This window comes from Homo sapiens, chromosome 5, assembly GCF_000001405.40.
Source record: "Homo sapiens chromosome 5, GRCh38.p14 Primary Assembly".
NCBI lineage: Eukaryota > Metazoa > Chordata > Mammalia > Primates > Hominidae > Homo > Homo sapiens.
Window position 1 is genome coordinate 74,699,061 of NC_000005.10, and position 25,508 is coordinate 74,724,568.

General features: G+C 39.1%; 2 protein-coding genes across 10 annotated transcripts in view, besides 2 other annotated features; one reads left to right on the forward strand and one right to left on the reverse strand.

Moving 5' to 3' along the window:
* HEXB (hexosaminidase subunit beta) overlaps window positions 1-22,228 on the forward strand; it is an 81,266-nt gene extending 59,038 nt beyond the window's left edge. For both annotated transcript variants that reach the window (NM_001292004.2, NM_000521.4), the window contains exons 6-14: window positions 6,159-6,260; window positions 14,446-14,575; window positions 16,450-16,630; window positions 17,527-17,613; window positions 19,231-19,303; window positions 19,737-19,911; window positions 21,368-21,458; window positions 21,583-21,687; window positions 22,058-22,228. In NM_001292004.2, the coding sequence (NP_001278933.1) occupies window positions 6,165-6,260; window positions 14,446-14,575; window positions 16,450-16,630; window positions 17,527-17,613; window positions 19,231-19,303; window positions 19,737-19,911; window positions 21,368-21,458; window positions 21,583-21,687; window positions 22,058-22,115 (996 nt within the window). In that variant the 5' untranslated portion in view covers window positions 6,159-6,164 and the 3' untranslated portion in view covers window positions 22,116-22,228. The remainder of the gene's footprint in view (window positions 1-6,158; window positions 6,261-14,445; window positions 14,576-16,449; window positions 16,631-17,526; window positions 17,614-19,230; window positions 19,304-19,736; window positions 19,912-21,367; window positions 21,459-21,582; window positions 21,688-22,057) is intronic.
* Window positions 7,109-7,609: an enhancer, noted in NCBI's record as "H3K4me1 hESC enhancer chr5:74001994-74002494 (GRCh37/hg19 assembly coordinates)". NCBI's record gives its function as "activates a minimal SCP1, AML or CMV promoter by ChIP-STARR-seq in primed H9 embryonic stem cells {active_cell/tissue: H9 hESC(primed)}" and the evidence as "EXISTENCE:reporter gene assay evidence [ECO:0000049][PMID:30033119]".
* Window positions 7,610-8,110: an enhancer, noted in NCBI's record as "H3K4me1 hESC enhancer chr5:74002495-74002995 (GRCh37/hg19 assembly coordinates)". NCBI's record gives its function as "activates a minimal SCP1, AML or CMV promoter by ChIP-STARR-seq in primed H9 embryonic stem cells {active_cell/tissue: H9 hESC(primed)}" and the evidence as "EXISTENCE:reporter gene assay evidence [ECO:0000049][PMID:30033119]".
* The window catches only part of GFM2 (GTP dependent ribosome recycling factor mitochondrial 2), a 45,912-nt gene continuing 42,549 nt past the window's right edge, over window positions 22,146-25,508 (reverse strand). For all 8 annotated transcript variants that reach the window (NR_104006.2, NM_170691.3, NM_032380.5 and 5 more), the window contains 2 exons: window positions 23,319-23,501; window positions 22,146-22,723 (listed from right to left, as the gene is read on the reverse strand). Coding sequence is in view for 7 of the 8 variants with exons in the window: in NM_170691.3 (NP_733792.1) it covers window positions 22,595-22,723; window positions 23,319-23,501 (312 nt within the window). In the remaining variant the exon portion in view is untranslated. The remainder of the gene's footprint in view (window positions 22,724-23,318; window positions 23,502-25,508) is intronic.

The window sequence follows — 25,508 nt, forward strand, 5'->3', positions numbered from 1 at the left end:
TGTAATTCCAGCTACTTGGGAGGCTGAGACACAAAATCGCTTGAACCTGGGAGAGGGAGGTTGGAGTGAGCCAAGATTACGCCACTGCACTCCAGCCTGGGCAACAGAGCAAGACTCCATCTCAAAACAAACAAACAAAATGAATATATTAACATATACAATGTGACTTTTTAAAAAACTTAAATGAGACTGTACTTTTGCTACCCCCCACCCCCTTTTTTTTCTTTTTGTGAGACAGAGTCTCGCTGTGTTACCCAGGCTGGAGTGCAGTTGGCACAATCTCGGCTCACTGCTACCTCCGCCTCCTGAGTTCAAGCAATTCTCTTGCCTCTGTCTCTCGAGTAGCTGGGATTACAGGTGCCCACCACCACACCTGGCTAATTTTTGTATTTTTAGTAGAGATGGGGTTTCACCATGTTGGTCAGGCTGATCTTGAACTCCTGACCTCAAGTGATTTGCCTGCCTTGGCCTCCCAAAATGATGGGATTACAGATGTGAGCCACCACACCTGGCCTTTGCTACTCTTTTAACAGTTGAATATTTCATTTTATTTAGTCTCATGCTGATGGACATCTAAGTTAATTAACTATTATCATAAATACTACTGCAGTGTTTTATACATATATATTTGTACACTTGATAAGATTATTTCTGGAGGATAAATTCTTAGAAGTGAATTTCTGGGCTTAAGATGTATATATTTTATTTTTTGGTACATTTTAACTTTTGGTATATACTGTCAGGCTGCCTTCTAGACAGGTCGGTCATAGCCACATATGCTTGGCCAACAGTGTGGTACATCTTTGCCATGTTTGTTGCTGATCTAATGATAAAATATATCTCCTTGTTTTAATGTGCACTTCCTTGCTTTTTAGTGAATATAAGCCTTTTTTTTACATATTAATTATTTGTATATTTTATATTATAAACTGTAAGTTTCCTTTTTTTTTTTTTTTTTTTTTTTTTGAGACAGTCTTGTTCTGTTGCCCAGACTGGAGTGCAGTGGCACAATCTTGGCTCACTGTAATCTCTGCCTCCTGGGTTCAAGCGATTCTTGGACCTCAGCCTCCTGAGTAGCTGGGATTACAGGCATGCACCACCACACCCGGCTAATTTTTTGTATTTTTAGTAGAGACAGGGTTTTGCCATGTTGCCCAGGCTGGTCTCAAACTCCTGAGCTCAGGCAATCTGCCCACCTCGGCCTCTCAGAGTGCTAGGATTACAGGCATGAGCCACTGTGCCCAGCTGTAAGTTTATTTTCTATGTTTATTTTGTCGTCTAGAATGTGAATACCTTCTTTATTGGTTTAATGTTTTAATGTTATAGTTGTCTATAGATTGTGCCACTGATACTTTTATATTTGCTTATATGTATCTTATTTTTAAAATTTAATTAATTTAAATTTTTTATATTTAAAAAAAATTTGTGTAGAGATAGGGTCTCACCATAATGCCTCAAACTCCTGGTGTCAAATGATCCTTCCACCTTGGCCTCCCAAAGTGTTGGGATTATAGGCATGAGGCACCATACTCCACCTTATATTTATATTATATACTTACCCATCATATGTTGTTGTGAATTTTTTCTAAATTTCTAAATTTGTTTTAATAACTGTGTTTATAATGCCTGTAGACATTTACATTTTATTTATTTATTTATTTATTGAGACGGAGTTTTGCTCTTGTTGCACAGGTTGGAGTGCAATGGTGCGGTCTCAGCTCACTGCAACCTCCGCCTCTCAGATTCAAGTGATTCTTCTGCCTCAGCCTCCTAAGTAGCTGGGATTACAGGTGCCCGCCATCATGCCTGGCTAATTTTTATATTTTTAGTAGAGGCAGGGTTTTACCATGTTGGCCAGGCTGATCTTGAACTCCTGACCTCAGGTGATCTACCTTCCTCAGCTTCCCGAAGTGCTGGGATTACAGGCGTGAGCCCCCATGCCTGGCAAAATTTTTTTATTTTTATTTTTTAGCAAAGAACCCTGCTAACATTTTTTTTTTTTTTAAGAGATGGGGTTTTGCCACATTTCCCAGGTTGGTCTTAAACTCCTGAGCTCAGGCGATCCACCTGCCTTGGCCTCTCAAAGTGCTGGGATTACAGGCATAAGCCACCCATGCCCAGCCACAAGTTCTTTAAAGGAGTAGTATATTTCAATGTTATCCTTTCTATCATTTTTGGCTTTGGGAAGTATGCTTAGAATCCTCCTCTACAACAAGGATATAAATATAAAAATAGCCTCTTAAATTTTATTTTAGTATCATTATACTTTTTCTTATTAAATTCTTGATTCTATTAGAATTTACTTTAGTGTATCAAACCTATTAGGTATTTTAATTTTACTTTCCAAATGGTTAGCCAGTAATCCCCTCATTTCTGAGCAATCTACAATTCCCTATTGCTTTCAATGACAATTACTAAATACTAAATTCAGTTATAATTATTAAATACTAAATTCCAATAAATATGGAAGTTACTTTCTGAAGTCATAATCTTTACTACTTTATCTTCTTGGGCCAGTACATGTGGTTTTAATTTCTATAGCTTTAGCAGTTTTTATTTTTGTTTTTGTTTGTATTTTGAAGTCTTAAACTTAGGGAAAAGTTGTAAATAGTGTGCAAAGAACTCCTATATACTCTTTACCCAGATACTCCACTTTAAAATTTTTATTGTATTTATTAAATATTAAATTTATTTAAGCTATATATTTGCTTTATTCTCCCTCTCTAAAAATACGTTTTCTAAACCACATGGGCACATATGATGCATCAATACCCCCTTAATATTTCAGGATGAATTTCTTAAAAAAAGGACATTTAATAACTTCAGTACAACCATCAAAATCAGGAAATTGACACAATACTGCATCTAATACGCAGACCCCATTCAAATTTCGATTGTTCCAACAATGTCTTTTATAGGTTCCACATCCCATCCAAAATCAGGTGTTCCGTTTACTTGTATGTCTCTTTGGCCACCATTAATCTGCAACTGACTATCTTTCCTTGTCTTTTTTTTTTTTTTTTTTTTTTTTTTTTTGAGACGGAGTCTCGCTCTGTCGCCCAGGCTGGAGTGCAGTGGCGGGATCTCGGCTCACTGCAAGCTCCGCCTCCCGGGTTCACGCCATTCTCCTGCCTCAGCCTCCCAAGTAGCTGGGACTACAGGCGCCCGCCACTACGCCTGGCTAATTTTTTGTATTTTTAGTAGAGACGGGGTTTCACCGTTTTAGCCGGGATGGTCTCGATCTCCTGACCTCGTGATCCGCCCGCCTCGGCCTCCCAAAGTGCTGGGATTACAGGCGTGAGCCACCGCGCCCGGCCTCCTTGTCTTTTAAGACCATGACATTTTTGAAGAGTATAGGCCAGTTGCTTTGTAGAGTATGCCTTAGCTTGTCCATTTTCCAGAAGATAATATTCAGTTATGCATTTTTGGCAGGAATAAAGCAGAAATGATGCTGTGTTCTTCTCAGTGCTTATCAGGTGACACAATGTCTTATTTATTTCATTTCTGGTATTGTTCACTTATAACTTGCCTAAGATGTCATCTGCCAGGTTTCTCCACTGTGATGTTAATTAAAAAGCATTTTGTACTTAACAAGTAATTAAGTATCTTGTGGGAAGAAATCTTGAGACCGTGTAAAATCCCATTCTTCATCCAGCGTTCACTCACTAGTTTTAGCATCCACAGATGATTCTTGCCTAAATCAGTTATTACTAAGGTGGCTACCGAGTGGTGATGCTTCTAATTCCATCACTCCTTCTATCATTTATTACTTGGCATTTCAGTGTAAGGTAGAGCAATCCCTTCTCTTTTATTTAAGTATTCGTTATTTTTATCAGTGTGGACTCATGGGTTACTATGTTATTCAGGATTGTAATCTGTTACTTTCCCTGTTTTTTTGTTTGTTTGTTTGAGATGGAGTTTCGCTCTTGTCGCCCAGGCTGGAGTGCAATGGTGCAGTCTCAGCTCACTGCAACCTCTGCCTCCCAGGTTCAAGCGATTCTCCTGCCTCAGCCTCCTGAGTAGCTGGAGTTACAGGCATCCGCCACCACGCCCAGCTAATTTTTCTATTTTTAGTAGAGATGGGGTTTCGCCATGTTGGCCAGGCTGGTCCCGAGCTCCTAGCCTCAGGTGGTCCACCCAGCTTGGCCTCCCAAAGTGCTGGGATTACAGGCGTGAGCCACTGTGCCCAGCCACTTTCCTTGTTTAATAGTCAAATTATCCCAGCTTTGGTCACTGGAAGTCCTTCAAGTTGCCTCTTACATCCCTTGCAGGTTCCCTTTAATTTTGGAGCACTGTCTTACTTTTTGGCACATGATGTTTCAGGCCTGTCTTCCCTGTCCCGGTCTTTTCTGTGTCCTCAGACTTTTCTTCAAGGAACCCTTTTAGTGGTGAACAACATTTTGAAACCAATATCTAGGCTCTAGGTGTGCTCATTGCTACTAGGATGTCATTGCTTGTAGACCCTCTGAGCAGAGAGAGCTAGAAAACGTGTGTACCTGTGTATGTATACATTTGTATGAATACACACACATCTTTCCCTATTTCTATATCTGCTAATATCAGGAGTTGGCAAACCATACCCCAAAGGCCAAATCCAGTTCACCATCTATTTTCACAAACATGGGGTTTTGGTCTCACTGTCACCCCCAGGCTGGAGTGCAGAGGTATGAGCTCAGCTTACTGCAGTCTCAACCTCCCAGGCTCAAGCAATCCTCCCACCTCAGCCTCCAGAATGGATGGGACTACCGGCACTACCGGCATGTGTCACGATGCCCAGCTAATTTCTTAAAAATTTTTTAGTAGAGATAGGGTCTCACTATGTCATGCAGGCTGGTCTCAAACTCCTGGGCCCAAGTGATCTTCCTGCCTCAGCCTTCCAAAGTACTGGGGTTACAGATGTGAGCCACCGTGTCTGGCCTCACAAATAAAGTTTACAGGAATATAGGCACGTACGTTTGTTTACATACTGTCTCACTCTACAATTGCAGAGTGGAGTAGGTGTAACAAACTCTATGGCTTGCAAAGCCAAAATATTTACTGTCTAGCCCTTTATGTAAAATGTTTACCAACCCCTGGTCTATGTTAAAAACCATGAGTTTGTATTAATAAGCTCAATTCCAGTTAACACCTATATTTCTGGCTCCCTTCTCTGAGAGTGAAAACCCTCCTTTTATCCTCAATATATTTATCTGCACAATCCCCTTGTATGTAAAAGATGTCCTAACTCCATCAGCCAAATCCCTTCAGCCTTGATGAAGAGGGAGTCTTTAAGTTTTGATGATCTTGTTGGACAAATCTTCTCCCTTATTGTTTTTCATCTTTTAAAAATAGTGTTTATATTTTATATAAATATTATATTGGTTATTCCTCTAGAGTATATATAAAATTAATAACTCAATTTGCCCAAAAATTTCTCTGGGGGAATTGTATTGAGTTTGCAATGAAATTCTTGGTTGGGACTCAAATTTCAGAACTGTGGGAATTATAAGTCCTGGTACTTAAATGAATGCTCCGTTTTTCCTTTGCTCTATTCCCAAACACAGTGGCAGCCAAGAACCATTTTGCATTCTTGGCAGACTGCTACATATTGGGAATCTTGCTCTCCTCCCATACAGCAAAGTTACAACTCACCGTCTAGAATAAATACAACATCTCCAGAGGCTTTTTGTATACTGATGTGTCATGTGAAGTATATATGATGAAGAATTTCTATTTCTTCTCATTCTTTCTTTGCTGAAAGATAAATTTTAGCCAGGTGTGGTGGCTCATGCCTGTAATCCCAGCAATTTGGGAGGCCAAGGCGGGTGGTTGGCTTGAGCCCAGGAGTTCCAGACCAGCCTGGGCAACATGGCAAAACCCTGTTTCGACAAAAAATACAAAAATTACCTGGGCATGGTAGTGGGCGCCTGTAGTCCCAGCTACTCAGGAGGCTGAAGTGGGAGGATCACTTGAGACTGGGAGGTCAAGGCTGCAGTGAGCCAAGATCATGCCACTGTATTCCAGCCTGGGCAATGGAGTGAGACCCTGTCTCAAAAAAAAAAAAAAAAAAAAAGTTTTAAAGGAAGCAGACATATTGGAAGCAATTCCAAATGTAGATAGGTAATATGGATTGTATATGATATCTGCAGTAAATAATTTTTAAATATGTTTGCTTGCAGGATGCCATGGCTTTTAATAAGTTTAATGTTCTTCACTGGCACATAGTTGATGACCAGTCTTTCCCATATCAGAGCATCACTTTTCCTGAGTTAAGCAATAAAGTGAGTAAATTGTATTGTACTCTGTCTACAAAAACATTGGGTATAGTTTCATTACAAGTTTGTAGCTTAAATGTTTGTTCTTATGGATAGAATCAAAGTGTAAAAATCAGATGTTTATGGTTTTTAATTTTTTTGGCTGTGACTTAGCATTTTACATCCATAAAACTTTTTTTGTTATTGTTATAACGGTTACTGTAATTGTTACTGTGAATATAAACAATCTTGGGGAAGTGTAAATCGAAATTTAACAAGGTAGAAGCCCTGAATAATTCTCAAATTACATATGGTTAAGATAATATATTTATCAAGTTGTCCAACAGTGTATTTGTTTTAAACATAATTGTTTGGAAATCCATAAATGACTATTTTTCTCTCTGAGAAACTACATGAAGTAGGGAATTTTAGAGGTGAGAGTGTTTTCTTAGAAAATAATGGTAGTCTCAGTTAACAGTGTTCAAATTGACTGTATCATGGACCAATGGATCTGGGAGGGACCCTCAGTGTCCCCTAGTTTAATACCCCTGTAATACAAAGAAGGTACCTGACATCCAGAGAAATGATGTGCCTTGTGTAAAGTTGTGGTTAGGAAGGGACAGAGCCAGGACTCTAAATTCTGTCCTCCGGCCATAATTCCAAAACTTTCTCCAATGTTAGGTATGTAGGCTAAAATGTGCTAACAGCACTTGTGTTTTTGTTTCCTTTTGTTTTACTTTTTATTATGGCAAATTTCAAACATATACAGATACAGAATAGTTTAATGAACTCCCATGTTCTCATCATGCCAGTTCAAACATGAATACATGGTCAACCTTGTATCACTTAAACTCCTGCGGACAAGCCCTGCCCCATCCTGTTGTTTTGAATAAAATCCATCATTGTATCTCACTGTAAAAAGGCCTGTTCTTTAAGAAAAAATAACCATAATACATGATTGCAGCTAAAAAATTAAGAGTAATCTAGACAGCTAATCAATATTCACATTTCGGGGGGAGGAGCCAAGATGGCCGAATAGGAACAGCTCCCGTCTACAGCTCCCAGCATGAGCGACACAGAAGACGGGTGATTTCTGCATTTCCATCTGAGGTACCAGGTTCATCTCACTAGGGAGTGCCAGACAGTGGGCGCAGGACAGTGGGTGCAGCGCATCATGCGCGAGCCGAAGCAGGGTGAGGCGTTGCCTCACTCGGGAAGCGCAAGGGGTCAGGGAGTTCCCTTTCCTAGTCAAAGAAAGGGGTGACACACGGCACCGGGAAAATCGGGTCACTCCCACCCGAATACTGTGCTTTTCCGACGGGCTTAGGAAACGGCACACCAGGATATTATATCCTGCACCTGGCTCGGAGGGTCCTACGTGCACGGAGTCTCGCTGATTGCTAGCACAGAAGTCTGAGATCAAACTGCAAGGCGGCAGCGAGGCTGGGGGAGGGGTGCCCGCCATTGCCCAGGCTTGCTTAGGTAAACAGAGCAGCCGGGAAGCTCCACCTGGGTGGAGCCCACCACAGCTCAAGGAGGCCTGCCTGCCTCTGTAGGCTCCACCTCTGGGGGCAGGGCACAGACAAACAAAAAGACAGCAGTAACCTCTGCAGACTTAAATGTCCCCGTCTGACAGCTTTGAAGAGAGCAGTGGTTCTCCCAGCACACAGCTGGAGATCTGAGAACGGGCAGACTGCCTCCTCAAGTGGGTCCCTGATCCCTGAGCAGCCTAACTGGGAGGCACCCCCCAGTAGGGGCAGACTGACACCTCACACAGCCGGGTATTCCTCTGAGACAAAACTTCCAGAGGAACGATCAGACAGCAGCATTCACGGTTCACGAAAAACCACTGTTCTGCAGACACCGCTGCTGATACCCAGGCAAACAGGGTCTGGAGTGGACCTCTAGCAAACTCCAACAGACCTGCAGCTGAGGGTCCTGTCTGTTAGAAGGAAAACTAACAAACAGAAAGGACATCCACACCAAAAACCCATCTGTACATCACCATCATCAAAGACCAAAAGTAGATAAAACCACAAAGATGGGGAAAAAACAGAGCAGAAAAACTGGAAACTCTAAAAAGCAGAGCACCTCTCTTCTTCCAAAGGATCGCAGTTCCTCACCAGCAATGGAACAAAGCTGGACGGAGAATGACTTTGATGAGTTGAGAGAAGAAGGCTTCAGAAGATCAAACTACGAGCTACAGGAGGAAATTCAAACCAAAGGCAAAGAAGTTAAAAACTTTGAAAAAAATTTAGACGAATGTACAACTAGAATAACCAATACAGAGAAGGGCTTAAAGGAGCTGATGGAGCTGAAAGCCAAGGCTCGAGAACTACGTGAAGAATGCAGAAGCCTCAGGAGCTGATGTGATCAACTGGAAGAAAGGGTATCAGTGATGGAAGATGAAATGAATGAAATGAAGTGAGAAGGGAAGTTTAGAGAAAAAAGAATAAAAAGAAATGAACAAAGCCTCCAAGAAATATGGGACTATGTGAAAAGACCAAATCTACATCTGATTGGTGTACCTGAAAGTGAAAGTGACGGGGAGAATGGAACCAAGTCCTACTCTGCAGGATATTATCCAGGAGAATTTCCCCAATCTAGCAAGGCAGGCCAACATTCAGATGCAGGAAATACAGAGAATGCCACAAACATACTCCTCGAGAAGAGCAACTCCAAGACACATAATTGTCAGATTCACCAAAGTTGAAATGAAGGAAAAAATGTTAAGGGCAGCCAGAGAGAAAGGTCGGGTTACCCACAAAGGGAAGCCCATCAGACTAACAGCGGATCTCTCGGCAGAAACTCTACAAGCCAGAAGACAGTGGGGGCCAATATTCAACATTCTTAAAGAAAAGAATTTTCAACCCAGAATTTCATATCCAGCCAAACTAAGCTTCATAAGTGAAGGAGAAATAAAATACTTTACAGACAAGCAAATGCTGAGAGATTTTGTCACCACCAGGCCTGCCCTGAAAGAGCTCCTGAAGGAAGCACTAAACATGGAAAGGAACAACCAGTACCAGCCGCTGCAAAATCATGCCAAAGTGTAAAGACCATCGAGACTAGGAAGAAACTGCATCAACTAACAAGCAAAATAACCAGCTAACATCATAATGACAGGATCAAATTCACACATAACAATATTAACTTTAAATGTAAATGGACTAAATGCTCCAATTAAAAGACACAGACTGGCAAATTGGATAAAGAGTCAAGACCCATCAGTGTGTTGGATTCAGGAAACCCATCTCACGGGCAGAGACACACATAGGCTCGATATAAAAGGATGGAGGAAGATCTACCAAGGAAATGGAAAACAAAAAAAGTCAGGGGTTGCAATCCTAGTCTCTGATAAAACAGACTTTTAAACCAACAAAGATCAAAAGAGACAAAGAAGGCCATTACATAATGGTAAAGGGATCAATTCAACAAGAAGAGCTAACTATCCTAAATATATATGCACCCAATACAGGAGCACCCAGATTCATAAAGCAAGTCCTGAGTGACCTACAAAGAGACTTAGACTCCCACACATTAATAATGGGAGACTTTAACACCCTACTGTCAACATTAGACAGATCAACGAGACAGAAAGTCAACAAGGATACCCAGGAATTGAACTCAGCTCTGCACCAAGTGAACCTAATAGACATCTACAGAACTCTCCACCCCAAATCAACAGAAGATACATTTTTTTCAGCACCACACCACACCTATTCCAAAATTGACCACATAGTTGGAAGTAAAGCTCTCCTCAGCAAATGTAAAAGAACAGAAATTATAACAAACTATCTCTCAGACCACAGTGCAATCAAGCTAGAACTCAGGATTAAGGAACTCACTCAAAACTGCTCAACTACATGGAAACTGAACAACCTGCTCCTGAATGATTACTGGGTACATAACGAAATGAAGGCAGAAATAAAGATATTCTTTGAAACCAACAAGAACAAAGACACAACATACCAGAATCTCTGGGACACATTCAAAGCAGTGTGTAGAGGGAAATTTATAGCACTAAATGCCCACAAGAGAAAGCAGGAAAGATCCAAAATTGACACCCTAACATCACAATTAAAAGAACTAGAAAAGCAAGAGCAAACACATTCAAAAGCTAGCAGAAGGCAAGAAATAACTAAAATCAAAGCAGAACTGAAGGAAATAGACACACAAAAAACCCTTCAAAAAATTAATGAATCCAGAAGCTGGTTTTTTGAAAGGATCAACAAAATTGATAGAACGCTAGCAAGACTAATAAAAAAAGAGAGAAGAATCAAATAGACGCAATAAAAAATGATAAAGGGGATATCACCACCAATCCCACAGAAATACAAACTACCATCAGAGAATACTACAAACACCTCTATGCAAATAAACTAGAAAATCTAGAAGAAATGGATAAATTCCTCCACACATATACTCTCCCAAGACTAAACCAGGAAGAAGTTGAATCTCTGAATAGACCAATAACAGGAGCTGAAATTGTGGCAATAATCAATAGCTTATCAACCAAAGAGTCCAGGACCAGATGGATTCACAGCCGAATTCTACCAGAGGTACAAGGAGGAACTGGTACCATTCCTTCTGAAACTATTCCAATCAATAGAAAAAGAGGGAATCCTCCCTAACTCATTTTATGAGGCCAGCATCATCCTGATACCAAAGCCGGGCAGAGACACAACCAAAAAAGAGAATTTTAGACCAATATCCATGATGAACATTGATGCAAAAATCCTCAATAAAATACTGGCAAACCAAATCCAGCAGCACATCAAAAAGCTTATCCACCATGATCAAGTGGGCTTCATCCCTGGGACGCAAGCCTGGTTCAATATACGTAAATCAATAAATGTAATCCAGCATATAAACAGAACCAAAGACAAAAACCACATGATTATCTCAATGGATGCAGAAAAGGCCTTTGACAAAATTCAACAACCCTTCATGCTAAAAACTCTCAATAAATTAGGTATTGATGGGACATATCTCAAAATAATAAGAGCTATCTATGACAAACCCCCAGCCAATATCATACTGAATGGGCAAAAACTAGAAGCATTCCCTTTGAAACCTGGCACAAGACAGGGATGCCCCCTCTCACCACTCCTGTTCAACATAGTGTTGGAAGTTCTGGCCAGGGCAATTAGGCAGGAGAAGGAAATAAAAGGTATTCAATTAGGAAAAGAGGAAGTCAAATTGTCCCTGTTTGCAGATGACATGATTGTATATCTAGAAAACCCCATTGTCTCAGCCCAAAATCTCCTTAAGCTGATAAGCAAATTCAGCAAAGTCTCAGGATACAAAATCAATGTGCAAAAATCACAAGCATTCTTATACACCAATAACAGACAAACAGCCAAATCATGAGTGAACTCCCATTCACAATTGCTTCAAAGAGAATAAAATACCTAGGAATCCAACTTACAAGGGATGTGAAGGACCTCTTCAAGGAGAACTACAAACCACTGCTCAATGAAATAAAAGAGGATACAAACAAATGGAAGAAAATTCCATGCTCATGGGTAGGAAGAATCAATATCATGAAAATGGCCATACTGCCCAAGGTAATTTATAGATTCAATGCCATCCCCATCAAGCTACCAATGACTTTCTTCACAGAATTGGAAAAAACTACTTGAAAGTTCATATGGAACCAAAAAAGAGCCCACATTACCAAGTCAATCCTAAGCCAAAAGAACAAAGCTGGAGGCATCACGCTACCTGACTTCAAACTATACTACAAGGCTACAGTAACCAAAACAGCATGGTACTGGTACCAAAACAGAGATATAGATCAATGGAACAGAACAGAGCCCTCAGAAATAACGCTGCATATCTACAACTATCTGATGTTTGACAAACCTGAGAAAAACAAGCAATGGGGAAAGGATTCCCTATTTAATAAATGGTGCTGGGAAAACTGGCTAGCCATATGTAGAAAGCTGAAACTGGATCCCTTCCTTACACCTTATACAAAAATCAATTCAAGATGGATTAAAGACTTAAACGTTAGACCTAAAACCATAAAAACCCTAGAAGAAAACCTAGGCATTACCATTCAGGACATAGGCATGGGCAAGGACTTCATGTCTAAAACACCAAAAGCAATGGCAACAAAAGCCAAAATTGACAAATGGGATCTAATTAAACTAAAGAGCTTCTGCACAGGAAAAGAAACTACCATCAGAGTGAACAGGCAACCCACAATATGGGAGAAAATTTTCGCAACCTACTCATCTGACAAAGGAAATATCCAGAATCTACAATGAACACAAACAAATTTACAAGAAAAAAACAAACAACCCCATCAAAAAGTGGGTGAAGGACATGAACAGACACTTCTCAAAAGAAGACATTTATGCAGACAAAAAACACATGAAAAAATGCTCATCATCACTGGCCGTCAGAGAAATGCAAATCAAAACCACAATGAGATACCATCTCACACCATTTAGAATGGCAATCATTAAAAAGTCAGGAAACAACAGGTGCTGGAGAGGATGTGGAGAAATAGGAACACTTTTACACTGTTGGGACTGTAAACTAGTTCAACCATTGTGGAAGTCAGTGTGGCGATTCCTCAGGGATCTAGAACTAGAAATACCATTTGACCCAGCCATCCCATTACTGGGTATATACCCAAAGGACTATAAATCATGCTGCTGTAAAGACACATGCACACGTATGTTTATTGTGGCACTATTCACAATAGCAAAGACTTGGAACCAACCCAAATGTCCAACAATGATAGACTGGATTAAGAAAATGTGGCACATATACACCATGGAATACTATGCAGCCATAAAAAATGATGAGTTCATGTCCTTTGTAGGGACATGGATGAAATTGGAAATCATCATTCTCAGTAAACTATCACAAGAACAAAAAGCCAAACACCGCATATTCTCACTCATAGGTGGGAATTGAACAATGAGAACACATGGACACAGGAAGGGGAACATCACACACTGGGGACTGTTGTGGGGTGGGGGAGGGGGGAGGGATAGCATTGGGAGATATACCTAATGCTAGATGACGAGTTAGTGGGTGCAGCGCACCAGCATGGCACATGTATACATACGTAACTAACCTGCACATTGTGCACATGTACCCTAAAACTTAAAGTATGATAATAATAAAAAAAAGAAATGCTTTAAATTTTAAAAAAAAATTCACATTTCTCCAACTGTCTTTTTCTCTTATTTAAAAAATTATTTTAAAACATTTGCAGTGGGATACAAATAAGCTCCATAATTGTGGTGAGTTAATATGTCTAGTAATTCTTTTTTGATCTACAGGTCTGCTCTTCCCACCTTTTTCTCCTGTAATTGTTGTTGAAGAAACTGAGTCATGTGTCCTACAGTTTCCCACAGTCTGGGTTTTGCTGATTGCACCCCACAGTGTCAATTAATATGTCCCTGTATTTACTATAAACTGGTAGTTGAATCTAGTCTTGATAGAAATTTGATTTGCAGTGCTGGGAGACAAGACTGCTTTTCCGCAACTGAGCACTTATAGGCCATAGTTTGAGAAATGTGCTAAGGAACAGCTCACAACTTTAGTTACAAACAATATTGAGTTCTAATTTTTCAAGTGACCTATAAAGGGACTGAGGTAATCATTAAAAAAAAACAAGTCACTTATTCTGGAGTCTATATGGGAATTTTTCAAGCTTATAGTAATTCAAGCTGATAGTCCTTTGAAGGACAACAGCTATGCTTTGTAATAAGGTGTGCATTTTGACTCTAAAATTGACAAGAGCAGTGTTTTCGGAAGTTTCACTTTGGAGACATTTGTTTTGTTGTATTCTTACATGGAAGTTGAAACAGCATGATAGTAGAAACTCTTGAAACAGGAGGCACTGATGGAGACAGATATTTCTACCAGTAAATCTGCGGTTAGCCCAAAGTATACTGAGAATTTATTGCTAAAATATGGTAAACAAATGATTTGACAAAAGCCCCAAAATGGCTATCATCCTTTGAGTATGTACGACTTAGTAGAAATTTTCTTTCTGAAATTTTCTACTCCTGAAACTATGGCACTATATTATTTTTAAATGAGTCATCTAATATCACATGAAACTAATACATTGTCATAGTGAAAAAATTAGCTGTCAAATATCAAATGCAAGCACAATTGTTAACAATTTCCAGGATCAAATCTACGTTGTACATTTTAACTTGAATAAATATGGCTTTTACAGGGAAGCTATTCTTTGTCTCATGTTTATACACCAAATGATGTCCGTATGGTGATTGAATATGCCAGATTACGAGGAATTCGAGTCCTGCCAGAATTTGATACCCCTGGGCATACACTATCTTGGGGAAAAGGTAAGGAGTTGTATTTTATTTCATTTTATCTTATTTTTTATTTTTTGAGATGGAGTCTTGTTCTGTCACCCAGGCTGGAGTGCAGTAGTACAATCTCGGCTCACTGCAACCTCCACCTCCCAGGATCAAGCGATTCTCCTGCCTCAGCTTCCTGAGTAGCTGAGACTACAGGCATGCGCCACCATGCCCAGCTAATTTTTGTTTTTGTTTTGTTTTGTTTTTTGAGACGGAGTCTCACTCCGTTGCCCAGGCTGGAGTGCAGTGGCATGATTTTGGCTCACTACAACCTCTGCCTCCCAGGTTCAAGCGATTCTCCTGCCTCAGCCTACTGAGTAGCTGGGACTACAGGCGCCCGCCACCACGCTAATTTTTTGTATTTTTAGTAGAGACGGGGTTTCACCGTGTTACCCAGGATGGTCTTGATCTCCCCTCCTCATGATCGGCCCGCCTCGGCCTCCCAAAGTGTTGGGATTATAGGCGTGAGCCACTGCGCCTGGCCAGGAGTTGTATTTTATAAGTTGCAAAAGTGAATATTTGAGGTATTGCATTTCTTATTTTATGACCTAGTGTTTGCTCATTTTGTTCTTAATTGTGATTGGCCTATCAGTAATACTATTGACAGATACAATTCAATAGCTACTCTGTGTCTATTGTGAGCAAGTCATTGTGATTAGGTACTGCCTAAAGTATAAAAAAGGGAATGAAAGAAAACAAAAAGTGATTACAAAAAGTAGAACATGATAAGTGAATTCAAGAAATGGTTTCATAGATGAGGTAACACTTAAAATGCTTTTGAGTGATCACAGAATATATTCATGTTTCTGGTAGAGGAAATGGCATAAGGAAATGTGTGCAAAAAGTGTAAGATATGCTTGACAAGTATGTAGCTGGAGTAGAGTGTAGCAGAGTAGGAGGCATTATAGGGTGGTGATTAAGAACTTTGGCTTTGGAGCCAGACAGCTTGGGTTTGAATCTTGCTTCTGCCATTATAAACTAGGTGACCTTGGGCAAGTTACAATATCTCATCTTCAGTTTCTCCATCTCTAAAATGAGAATTAGTAGTAGCTATCATGTAATTTTTTTGAGAATTAAATAATGTAAAGCACATAGCACAGTACCAAGCATTTATAATTGCTCAATATTATTAGAGTAGACATGGGGAATAGTGAGAGGTAAATCTGGAAAAGCACATTAGCGGGCCTTTGGTGAGGAATGTGAACTTCATCAGGACACACTGGAAACCAGTGAAAATTTCTGAGCAGAGGAGTAACATGATGGGAACCACACTTTGGGAAAACCTTTGGGAAAGTGACAGATTGGAGTTCTGGACCAGGAGGGTGATAGTGGGAATGTAAAATAATGGACAGAACTGAGAGACATTCTGGAAATATCCATAGAATTTGGCAACTGATGGACTCCAGGAGAGAGGAGGTATATACTCTAGGATGACGATGGTACCCTTATTAGAATACGAAAATCAGGAGAAGCTAGAGAAGGGAGCTTAAGGACTGCAGATGTTGTTTTTTGTTAGCTTGTATTTGAAGTACAGCTAGGATATTCAGTTGTATCCAGCAGGGAATTTGAAATATGAATTGAAGCTCAAGAAAAAGCGTTGAGGCAAACTGAAGATTTGGGAGTTACTAACATTTGACATAGATAAAATCTCAGATATAATGGGAAACAAAGAGGCAAAGAGACAGGATTCAGGAAACCCTTCTTATCTGGAAGAAATTACTAGCTCTTAGTAAACATGTTCATCTTTTGTGTATAAAATCTTGTAGCTTCAATAAAATGACGTAGTAAAATCATGTGGAAAACCAGATCTTTATAATGAGTACACTTCTTTTAAAAAGAATCTTAATATTTTCTTCTAGGTCAGAAAGACCTCCTGACTCCATGTTACAGTAGACAAAACAAGTTGGACTCTTTTGGACCTATAAACCCTACTCTGAATACAACATACAGCTTCCTTACTACATTTTTCAAAGAAATTAGTGAGGTGTTTCCAGATCAATTCATTCATTTGGGAGGAGATGAAGTGGAATTTAAATGTTGGTAAGATGATTCCTTAAAACCCCTTTAAAAAAAAAAAAAAGAGAGGCTGGGTGCGGTGGCTCACGCCTATAATCCCAGCACTTTGGGAGGCAGAGGCAGGCAGATCACCTGAGGTCAGGAGTTCAAGACCAGCCTGGCCAACATGGTGAAACCCCATCTCTACTAAAAATACAAAAATTAGCTGGGCGTGGTGGTGGGTACCTGTAATCCCAGCTCCTTGGGAGGCTGAGGCAGGAGAATCTCTTGAACCTGGGAGGAAGAGATTGCAGTGAGCTGAGATCATGCCACTGTACTCCAGACTGAGTGACAGAGTGAGACTCCATCTCAAAAAAAAAAAAAAAAAAAAAAAAATGGAATAAAAAACCTGTTGCATTGAAGTAGCTGTAGAGGGCTCCACACCATAAGGAAGACTTAAGAGTAACATGCCTGCTTGTAAGGGTTTAAACTGGGCAACATGACTCCTGAGATGGTAGATTTGTGGAGAATGTACATTTTGGTATGGCAAAGTAAAGCTTGAGGAAAAACAAGATGCAGAAGAAAATGGAGATTCAAAAAAAGACTACTGTGAAATGAGAACACCTTTAGTGAAAGAGGGCAATCAATGATTAAATAGGAAAGATTTTTCAAATAAAAATTCTCTCTGCAAATAGCTTTAGATGGAGGAGAAAGGTGGTAAGGTAAAGAAAGCCATTTTTAAAGGAAATCAGCTTCTTGAAAAAATTGTTTGCAATGGATAATTAAGATAACTTGTAATTAAGTTTTTAGGCTTCTTTTTACTACCTACAAACTTTAATAGTTTTAAGTCTGCACAACTGATGTTAGGCATGTATACTGCTCTAAATAATAAACTGAGCATATCAAACTTCTAATGAAATTTTAATCACTTTTTGCTTCAGGGAATCAAATCCAAAAATTCAAGATTTCATGAGGCAAAAAGGCTTTGGCACAGATTTTAAGAAACTAGAATCTTTCTACATTCAAAAGTAAGTTGTTTGAAAGCCTATTTCTGTATTAATGCTTTTTGTAAAAGTTTATTTAGTAATGTGCTTTATTTTTTACATTTTCTCTACATCCTTTGCCTAAGTGTAGATGTGAAAAATCACTAAAGGAGGCAATACCCACTGCTTGCTTTAAATCAGTAACATGGTGACTCCAAGTATTTTCCAATAGCTGTTGAAATATAGGAAGGCAGTCATCTGTTCTAAAAACTCAGATTGGGCTGGGCATGGTGGCTCACACCTGTAATCCCGGCACTTTGGGAGGCCGAGGCAGGTGGATCACCGGAGGCCAGGAGTTCGAGACCAGCCTGGCCAACATGGTGAAATCCCATCTCTACTAAAAATGAAAAAATTAGCCAGGCATGGTGGCAGGTGCCTGTAGTCCCAGCTACTCGGGCGGCTGAGGGAGAATCTCCTGGGAGATGGAGGTTACAGTGAGCTAAGATCGCACCACTGCACTCCAGCCTGGGCAACAGAGTGAGACTGTCTCAATCAATCAATCAATCAATCCATCAATAAATATAAAACTCAGCTTGAAGCCCTGGCTACCCTGTGAAGTCTTCACTACCATCCAGCCCCTGGAATTCATTCCATTTTGTCAATTCCAGGAACATATATTTTACTATATACCTGTGCTACCCAATACAGTAGCCATAGCCACAGGTGTCTGTCCATATGTAAATTAATTAAAATTAATGAAAGTTAAAAATTCAGCTACTCAGTTGCATTAGCCACATGTCAAGTGTTCAGTAGCCAGCTGAGGCTAGTGACTGCCATACTGAAAAATGCATATATATATATATATATACACATTTCCATCCCAGGAAGTTCTACTAGACCGTGCTGCTCTAGAGGGATTGGCAAACTTTTTCTGTAAAGGGTCAGAGAGTAAAGATTTTAGGCTTCATGGGCCACATACAATTGCCCATGGACCACATACAATTTTTTTTTAACTTAAAAAAAACCTCAAATTTTAAAACTTAAAAAAAAATGCTTTACAAATATAAAAACCATTCTTAGCCCATGAGACATACAAAAACAGCCTGCAAGCTGTAGTTGCCAACCCTTATGCTGTACCATTTATTTGGCAAGCCCAGATTCCAGCCTTTGCCTGTTCAGCTTTTTGTGTGATGCATTTAAGTGTTATTTATCTGCAGAGCACCTGGCATTATGTAAATATCTGTAAATATTTGTGGATTGTCAGTAACTGTTACATGTAATTTATGTGATATGACAGGCTAGATCGTGGTCCCTACCATTTTAAGACAGCCATAAAATTGTAAGAGATTGCTGTTTGTACAATTTCCTGAGTTGCCTACCAACTCAATTTGAGGCCACTTCTTCCTATCTTAGGGGCATGTTTAACTCATTCATTCAGCAAATGATTATTAAACCCCCATACTATGTTAGGTTCTGTATCAAGTGCTAAAAAGGAGGAACTACTTGTGACACTTCCCAACTTGAGCTGCTTCTGCTATAAAGCTGAACTATACTAAAAGGCACCTCTCAAAATGCAAGAAATCCTTGGTAGAAAATGTACATGTTTTAAATATATTGTTAAGCTTATGATCTAAAATAACTATAATTTTTTTGTAATACTAGGGTTTTGGATATTATTGCAACCATAAACAAGGGATCCATTGTCTGGCAGGAGGTTTTTGATGATAAAGCAAAGGTGAGCATTGTGAAGACTGCATCTGATCAATATAAGAGACTTAATTATTTTTCTTGGGGCAACTGGGAATTTGCAAGTCTAACTACTAGTATTACCTTTCTAGTGTAGTTAGTGACCACTTTGGACCTCATAGTTCCAAGCTAGGTTTGGTAGAAATAAGACTAAAATGCAAGTCTCAGCTTTAGTTAACTGAACCTATGTGGTATCCATATATAAGCAAAAGTTAAATATTCAAACCTAAGGTTGATGAAACTTTTAAGTCCCTAAAATGAGTATCACATGGCACTAACTCTGAAGAAAAGAGGAAAAAGAAAATGCAGATTTTTTTTAAGGATCTTAGAAAATTATGTTCCTAGTAATAATGCCTTAAACTTTCAATTTCATCTACTGTTCTAGGCCTAATAATATGTATTGCAATTTGTAACGTTAATAGCTTGCGCCGGGCACAATAGTTGAAGTATGGAAAGACAGCGCATATCCTGAGGAACTCAGTAGAGTCACAGCATCTGGCTTCCCTGTAATCCTTTCTGCTCCTTGGTACTTAGATTTGATTAGCTATGGACAAGATTGGAGGAAATACTATAAAGTGGAACCTCTTGATTTTGGCGGTAAGTGAAGCAGTTGGTCCAAGTGTTGTGGGTTACTGTGAAGCTGATGGTAAGTGAAGCAACCATTGTTACCTTTGTTTTATGAGTTTTCTTCCCTAACCTCCCACCCCAGAAGTCTTTACCTAGATATTACCTACCAACTATCTTTTATGTTTGATCCTTGATTTTATGTGTTTTTTTAAGTTCAGTATCATTTTAAACTCTCAAGAAACCATACAGTTGCCTAAATTCAAGAACTTCAAAAGTATTATAGATCCCCTTAGATTTTATCTCCATTTTCAGTGATGGCTCCTCACTCTCTACATTCTAAAGGTATTTGATTGCATTAACCTTACATGCCCTCTTCTGAACTGCTTCTCCAATGTAAGACACCTAAGCAAAGCTATAGTTTTAGTTCAGTGGATTTCAGGCTGTGTTGTCTTAGGATTCTGAGGAGTAGAATCCTTGGTGGATGGGACAGGAGGGAACATCTGAAGGGTGGAGCTTCAGGCTCTCAGATCCCCTTCATAAAAAACATTCTAGTTTGTCCAATTTTGTACATTAGCCTTTAGTGAAAAATCACTGAAAAAGGATTTTGCTGTTTAAAAAAGTTTCAAAACCATAGGTCTATTAAGAATTGATAATTTTATATACAATGCATTTTATGAGGACCAAAAAGCGATAATTACTGATTTTTAAAAAGCATTAAGTGGCTGGGCACGGTGGCTGACGCCTGTAATCCCAGCACTTTGGGAGGCCGAGGCAGGTGGATCATGAGGTCAGGAGTTCAAGACCAGCCTGCCTAAGATGGTGAAATTCTGTCTCTACTAAAAATACAAAAATTAGCCGGACGTGGTGATGGGTACCTGTAATCCCAGCTATTCGGGAGGCTGAGGCAGAGAATTGCTTGAACCCAGGAGGTGGAGGTTGCAGTGAGCCAAGATCGCGCCACTGCACTCCAGCCTGGGTGACCAAGCAAGACTCCATCTCAAAAAAAAAAAAAAACACACACATTAAGTATTCAATTTCTGTTTTAAATGCCAAGAGGTAGAAATTAAAGGTAGGCATGGTGGTCACAGTCCACTAAAAAACTAGTATTCCAACTTCTATTCCCTGGCACACTACTAAATAGGCAACCAGGGATTTAAAAAATGGTTTCTGGTGTCCAGGTAAGTTTGCATAAAACCAAAATAAAACTGTTTAATACTGGCCCACTACATTAATCTATGGTGCTAACACGTGCTGTGAACCGTGGGTCAGGGCTGGGGATAAAGTTTGCAACCATTTTTTTGGGGGGTGGGGGAAGAGGAGGGGCCATCTTTTTTGTGCCACAACCATTAGCATCTCCCAAGGTCCTGCTAACCACGGGCAAGAAATGTTGCCCTAGGATAAAGATGGAGGAAACAAATCTTGATGAAATATTGCCTCTGTGTATAAGCTTTGAACTTCTGAACTTAATTCAATGATTTTAATTTAGGTACTCAGAAACAGAAACAACTTTTCATTGGTGGAGAAGCTTGTCTATGGGGAGAATATGTGGATGCAACTAACCTCACTCCAAGATTATGGTATGGGATTTACCTGATAACATTTAAGAATTAAGGTGCCTTAGCTTTCCTTCTCTGTCTAAACACAAAAGTGCTAAACATAAATTTAAACTGCTTGCGGGGGGATGTGTGATTTAAATTTTAGGCCTCGGGCAAGTGCTGTTGGTGAGAGACTCTGGAGTTCCAAAGATGTCAGAGATATGGATGACGCCTATGACAGACTGACAAGGCACCGCTGCAGGATGGTCGAGTAAGAAATCTATTAAGTCCAGTGTGATTTTTAACCTTCTTATTCAGTGTTAGTTTCTTTTGCTATAAATAGAAATGTATGTTACCTAACAAATAGTAATTAGAAGAAACCAGGAATTATTTTTTTGTAAGTAATAATACCTGTAAAGATATATTCAGACTTGTGACTGTTTTATAGATACAAAAAATGTTGGTGTAACTTAGAACTCCATCTTGAGTTGCTTTAATTTTCTTCCCTTATTTTCAGTAATGCTGTGATTTAGTGATTCTAATTTAAGTTTCTAAGATGACATGAATATCAATCTAAAATATCTTTATGAATGATATCAATCTAAATCAATCTAAAATATCTTTATTCATGTTATCTACAGACGTGGAATAGCTGCACAACCTCTTTATGCTGGATATTGTAACCATGAGAACATGTAAAAAATGGAGGGGAAAAAGGCCACAGCAATCTGTACTACAATCAACTTTATTTTGAAATCATGTAAAATAAGATATTAGACTGTTTTTTGAATAAAATATTTTTATTGATTGAACCTTTGACCCTCTATCTTATTACATTTAGAGGCCTGGCATCTTTCTTGTGAGACAAGCTTAAGGACACAAAAGAAACACAACTTTGTGATACCACTCTTCTGAAGGCTACTTATAGTAATAACTTCATAGATGAACAGCATGATTCAGGTACAGTGGCTTTAAACATCAAAGCACATTTCTCATTATATAAATTAAAACGGGTGGCTCCAGTGCCACTATCAAAGCTTAAGTTATATCTTTTATCTAGTTCTCTGAATGTACTGAAACAGTACTTTATTCGTCCAATAAATAAAGCAATAAAAATTGTTCTTACTGAAAATGAAGTAGCTAGGTGCTCCTGAATTTCTCTCCAAAAACTAAAACATTTAGGTCAAACCACTTCTCCGGTTGAGCAGTGTATTTTGATCTTGAGGATTCATGGCTTGATAAGTAGATAGTTCTAAGGCAAAAGTAGCTGAGCCTGATGTTAGCGTTCGAAGCACAGTTGAATAACCCTAATCAAAATAATTTAAGTCATTTATATTATCAAATTTAAGCCTCAAGTTTCTCTTCCTGCTGATTATCTTTTGACTATTAGGGAAAAGTGATGTTGCCACTTTTGTGGCTTAGCCATATCACTTCCTCCAAACAGATGATTTAACTTTTTTCAGGGTAAGTTGGATATAAAAACATTGAGGACAGAAAGCAGAGTAGTGCAAGTGTGCTGCAGATGTATTTGTTAGATGGCTTTGCCGGCAACCCAGGTGCCTGTCCTGGAGCAGAAGAGGCTGACGGGAGAAGAATGATAACTTGCCTTAAAACTGACAATGGTGGAAGTAAGATAAATGCTTGGCAGGGAAAAAATGGTCATATAGGCTGGTACCACATTTTGGGACTGTAAATACCCCCTTGTAGTGCTATAATCCCTGGATTTCGCCAACAATTTAAATTCAAAGTCCTAACCATTCCTGCTGGTTGAAACGAAACTTAACATGTATTCTCTAAATCAAAGCCTTAATGTTTCTTTCAGGTTACTGATTGTCTATTCATTGGCATATAATATCCCCTGAATTAAGAAGAATATGTACTTTTCAGTTACAAAGTACCTACCATAATTTCTGCTAAGGGAACAAATCCAATAACAACTTTGTTGTCCTGGCGAGTCTGAATTTCCTGAATGTTTCCTCTTCTTTGTGCCAGATCTGCCAGGACAGGGCTGAGATAATCTCTAGCTACTGTAACCTCAAGATTCATCAGAGGCTCCAAAACTTGCTTATCAGCTTTCTTCAGAGCCTAAAGAAATTAAAGAATGTTAACTTATCTTTCATAAATAAAAACTTAAAATAAATACAGCCTAGAGCTCATACAAAAAGACATAAGCTTGCTTTAACTCTCTCTTTAAAGATAACGTTTTATAAGATGGCAACAACTATAATATTTGCTTGTATAATAAGCATGATAACAGAATTTATAGATCTTTTGTATGGTATGATGCAAGGGGATGTTTATAAAAAATGCCTGTGAACATGTGGTCAGAGTCACAGAAAGTCCTCCCCTTTCAAAGATTCATTTGTTCATATTTAAACCTCATGTTTCTGTTCCTGATGTCTATAATTACAGTCCATGCCATGCCACATGCCAGAGACAGCAATAAAGGGGAGAGCTTAAAAAAAAGGAAAAATTTAGTGCAATAAGGTAGTAGAAACATTATGTAAAATCTTTTCTTATTTAGAATCTTAGATTTCAAAGGCCAAGAAGAACATGCATAAAGAATGTGGAAACTGAAAATGTCTTTCAGAATAAAATAATGGAATTGAAAAGGATGTAAAAATTAAGAGAAAAAAATCCTAAAAAAGATTGAATTCTGCATATCTAACTAGGGCATACCATGCTCACAGAACTGTTCTTAGTCCTCTTTTCACAATCTTTTCCTGTCAATATTACCTATCTGGAGAGCTTCAAAAACGACTTCAACATGGCTTCCTCAAAAACGTTAAATCCTATGCAGCCCATAGTTTGAGTGCTCCAGTCCTGTACTCCATTGGCCTGCTTTGGGATAGTGTCTGAATATCCGGCAGCTCTCCAACATGTCCCACACTGAGCTCATCATTTTCTTCTCCAAACACTTCTATGCACATCCCTTTTTCTGATGATGACATCAGTAGTCTTCAGTTCACCTTTGACTTCCTTTTCCCCAAGTAAGCTGTAAGATTTTTTTTGTTTTTCCCATTCCTATTGCTGGCATCCTAGGTCAAACTTAGTCCATTTCCTGTCCTCTACTATCTCTTCCCTATTCAAATCCCTTCTGTACTTTGATACTTCTCTCTTCGAAACCTTTAAATTATGCTCCACCATTCTCAGAACAAAGTTCAAACTCTTTAATGTAGTTTTTAAAGTTTTCTCTACAGTCTGAAACCATTTTACTTTTTCAACACACAACTCCCCTGCCTTCATCTGGTACTACAGTTAAAAGGACTCTTATCTGTGTCTGGAATGTCCCCCACCATGCTCACGTCCTCCAAAATCATCTCAGCTCAAATATAAATCTTTCCAAGAATCCTCCCCAATTCCCTGCTTCCTACTACTTTCATGGCATTCACCCATTTTATCTAATACTTTGGCTATATTTAATTCCCTTATGAAATCACAAGCTCCTTTAGGTAGAGTAAAATATAATCCTATTTGTGTCCTTCTCAGTGCCTGGTGAACTATAAGCACAACACAGATGACTCAATAAATACATGAAGCACTTACAAGCAGAGAGAAGGAGATTCCCCATTAGAAGAAGCTTAACAAGGGTAGCAGTACTTCCATTAGGAGTGTTTTGTTTGAAGTAACGAATTAACACTAATGACTAAATGTAAGCCCCCATAAAGTTAATTCTTGTTCTCTGGCATAATCTTATTAAAAAGGCAAATGAACATGGAAATGCAGACTTTATTTTTAGAAGGCATATTACATTTTGAAGGACAGGCCAATATATTGAGGGCTTGGGGTCAATTTAGAAACTGCATTATTTTTCAGATTACCTTAGTTTCAATATTAAAACCAATTTCCAGAGAAACTTTAAAAATTACTTGGGGATGGGCATGGTGGCTTACACCTGTAATCCTAGCACTTTGGGTTTGGGAGGCCGAGGTTGGCAGACTGCTTGAGCCCAGGAGTTCAAGACCAGCCTGGGCAACATAGTGAGACCTTGTCTCTTAAAAAAAAAAAAAAAACAATTTAAAAATTACTTGAGGGTGAATTTTCTCAACAATATCGTCATAACTACTTTGCAGGTAACATTTCCAACATACT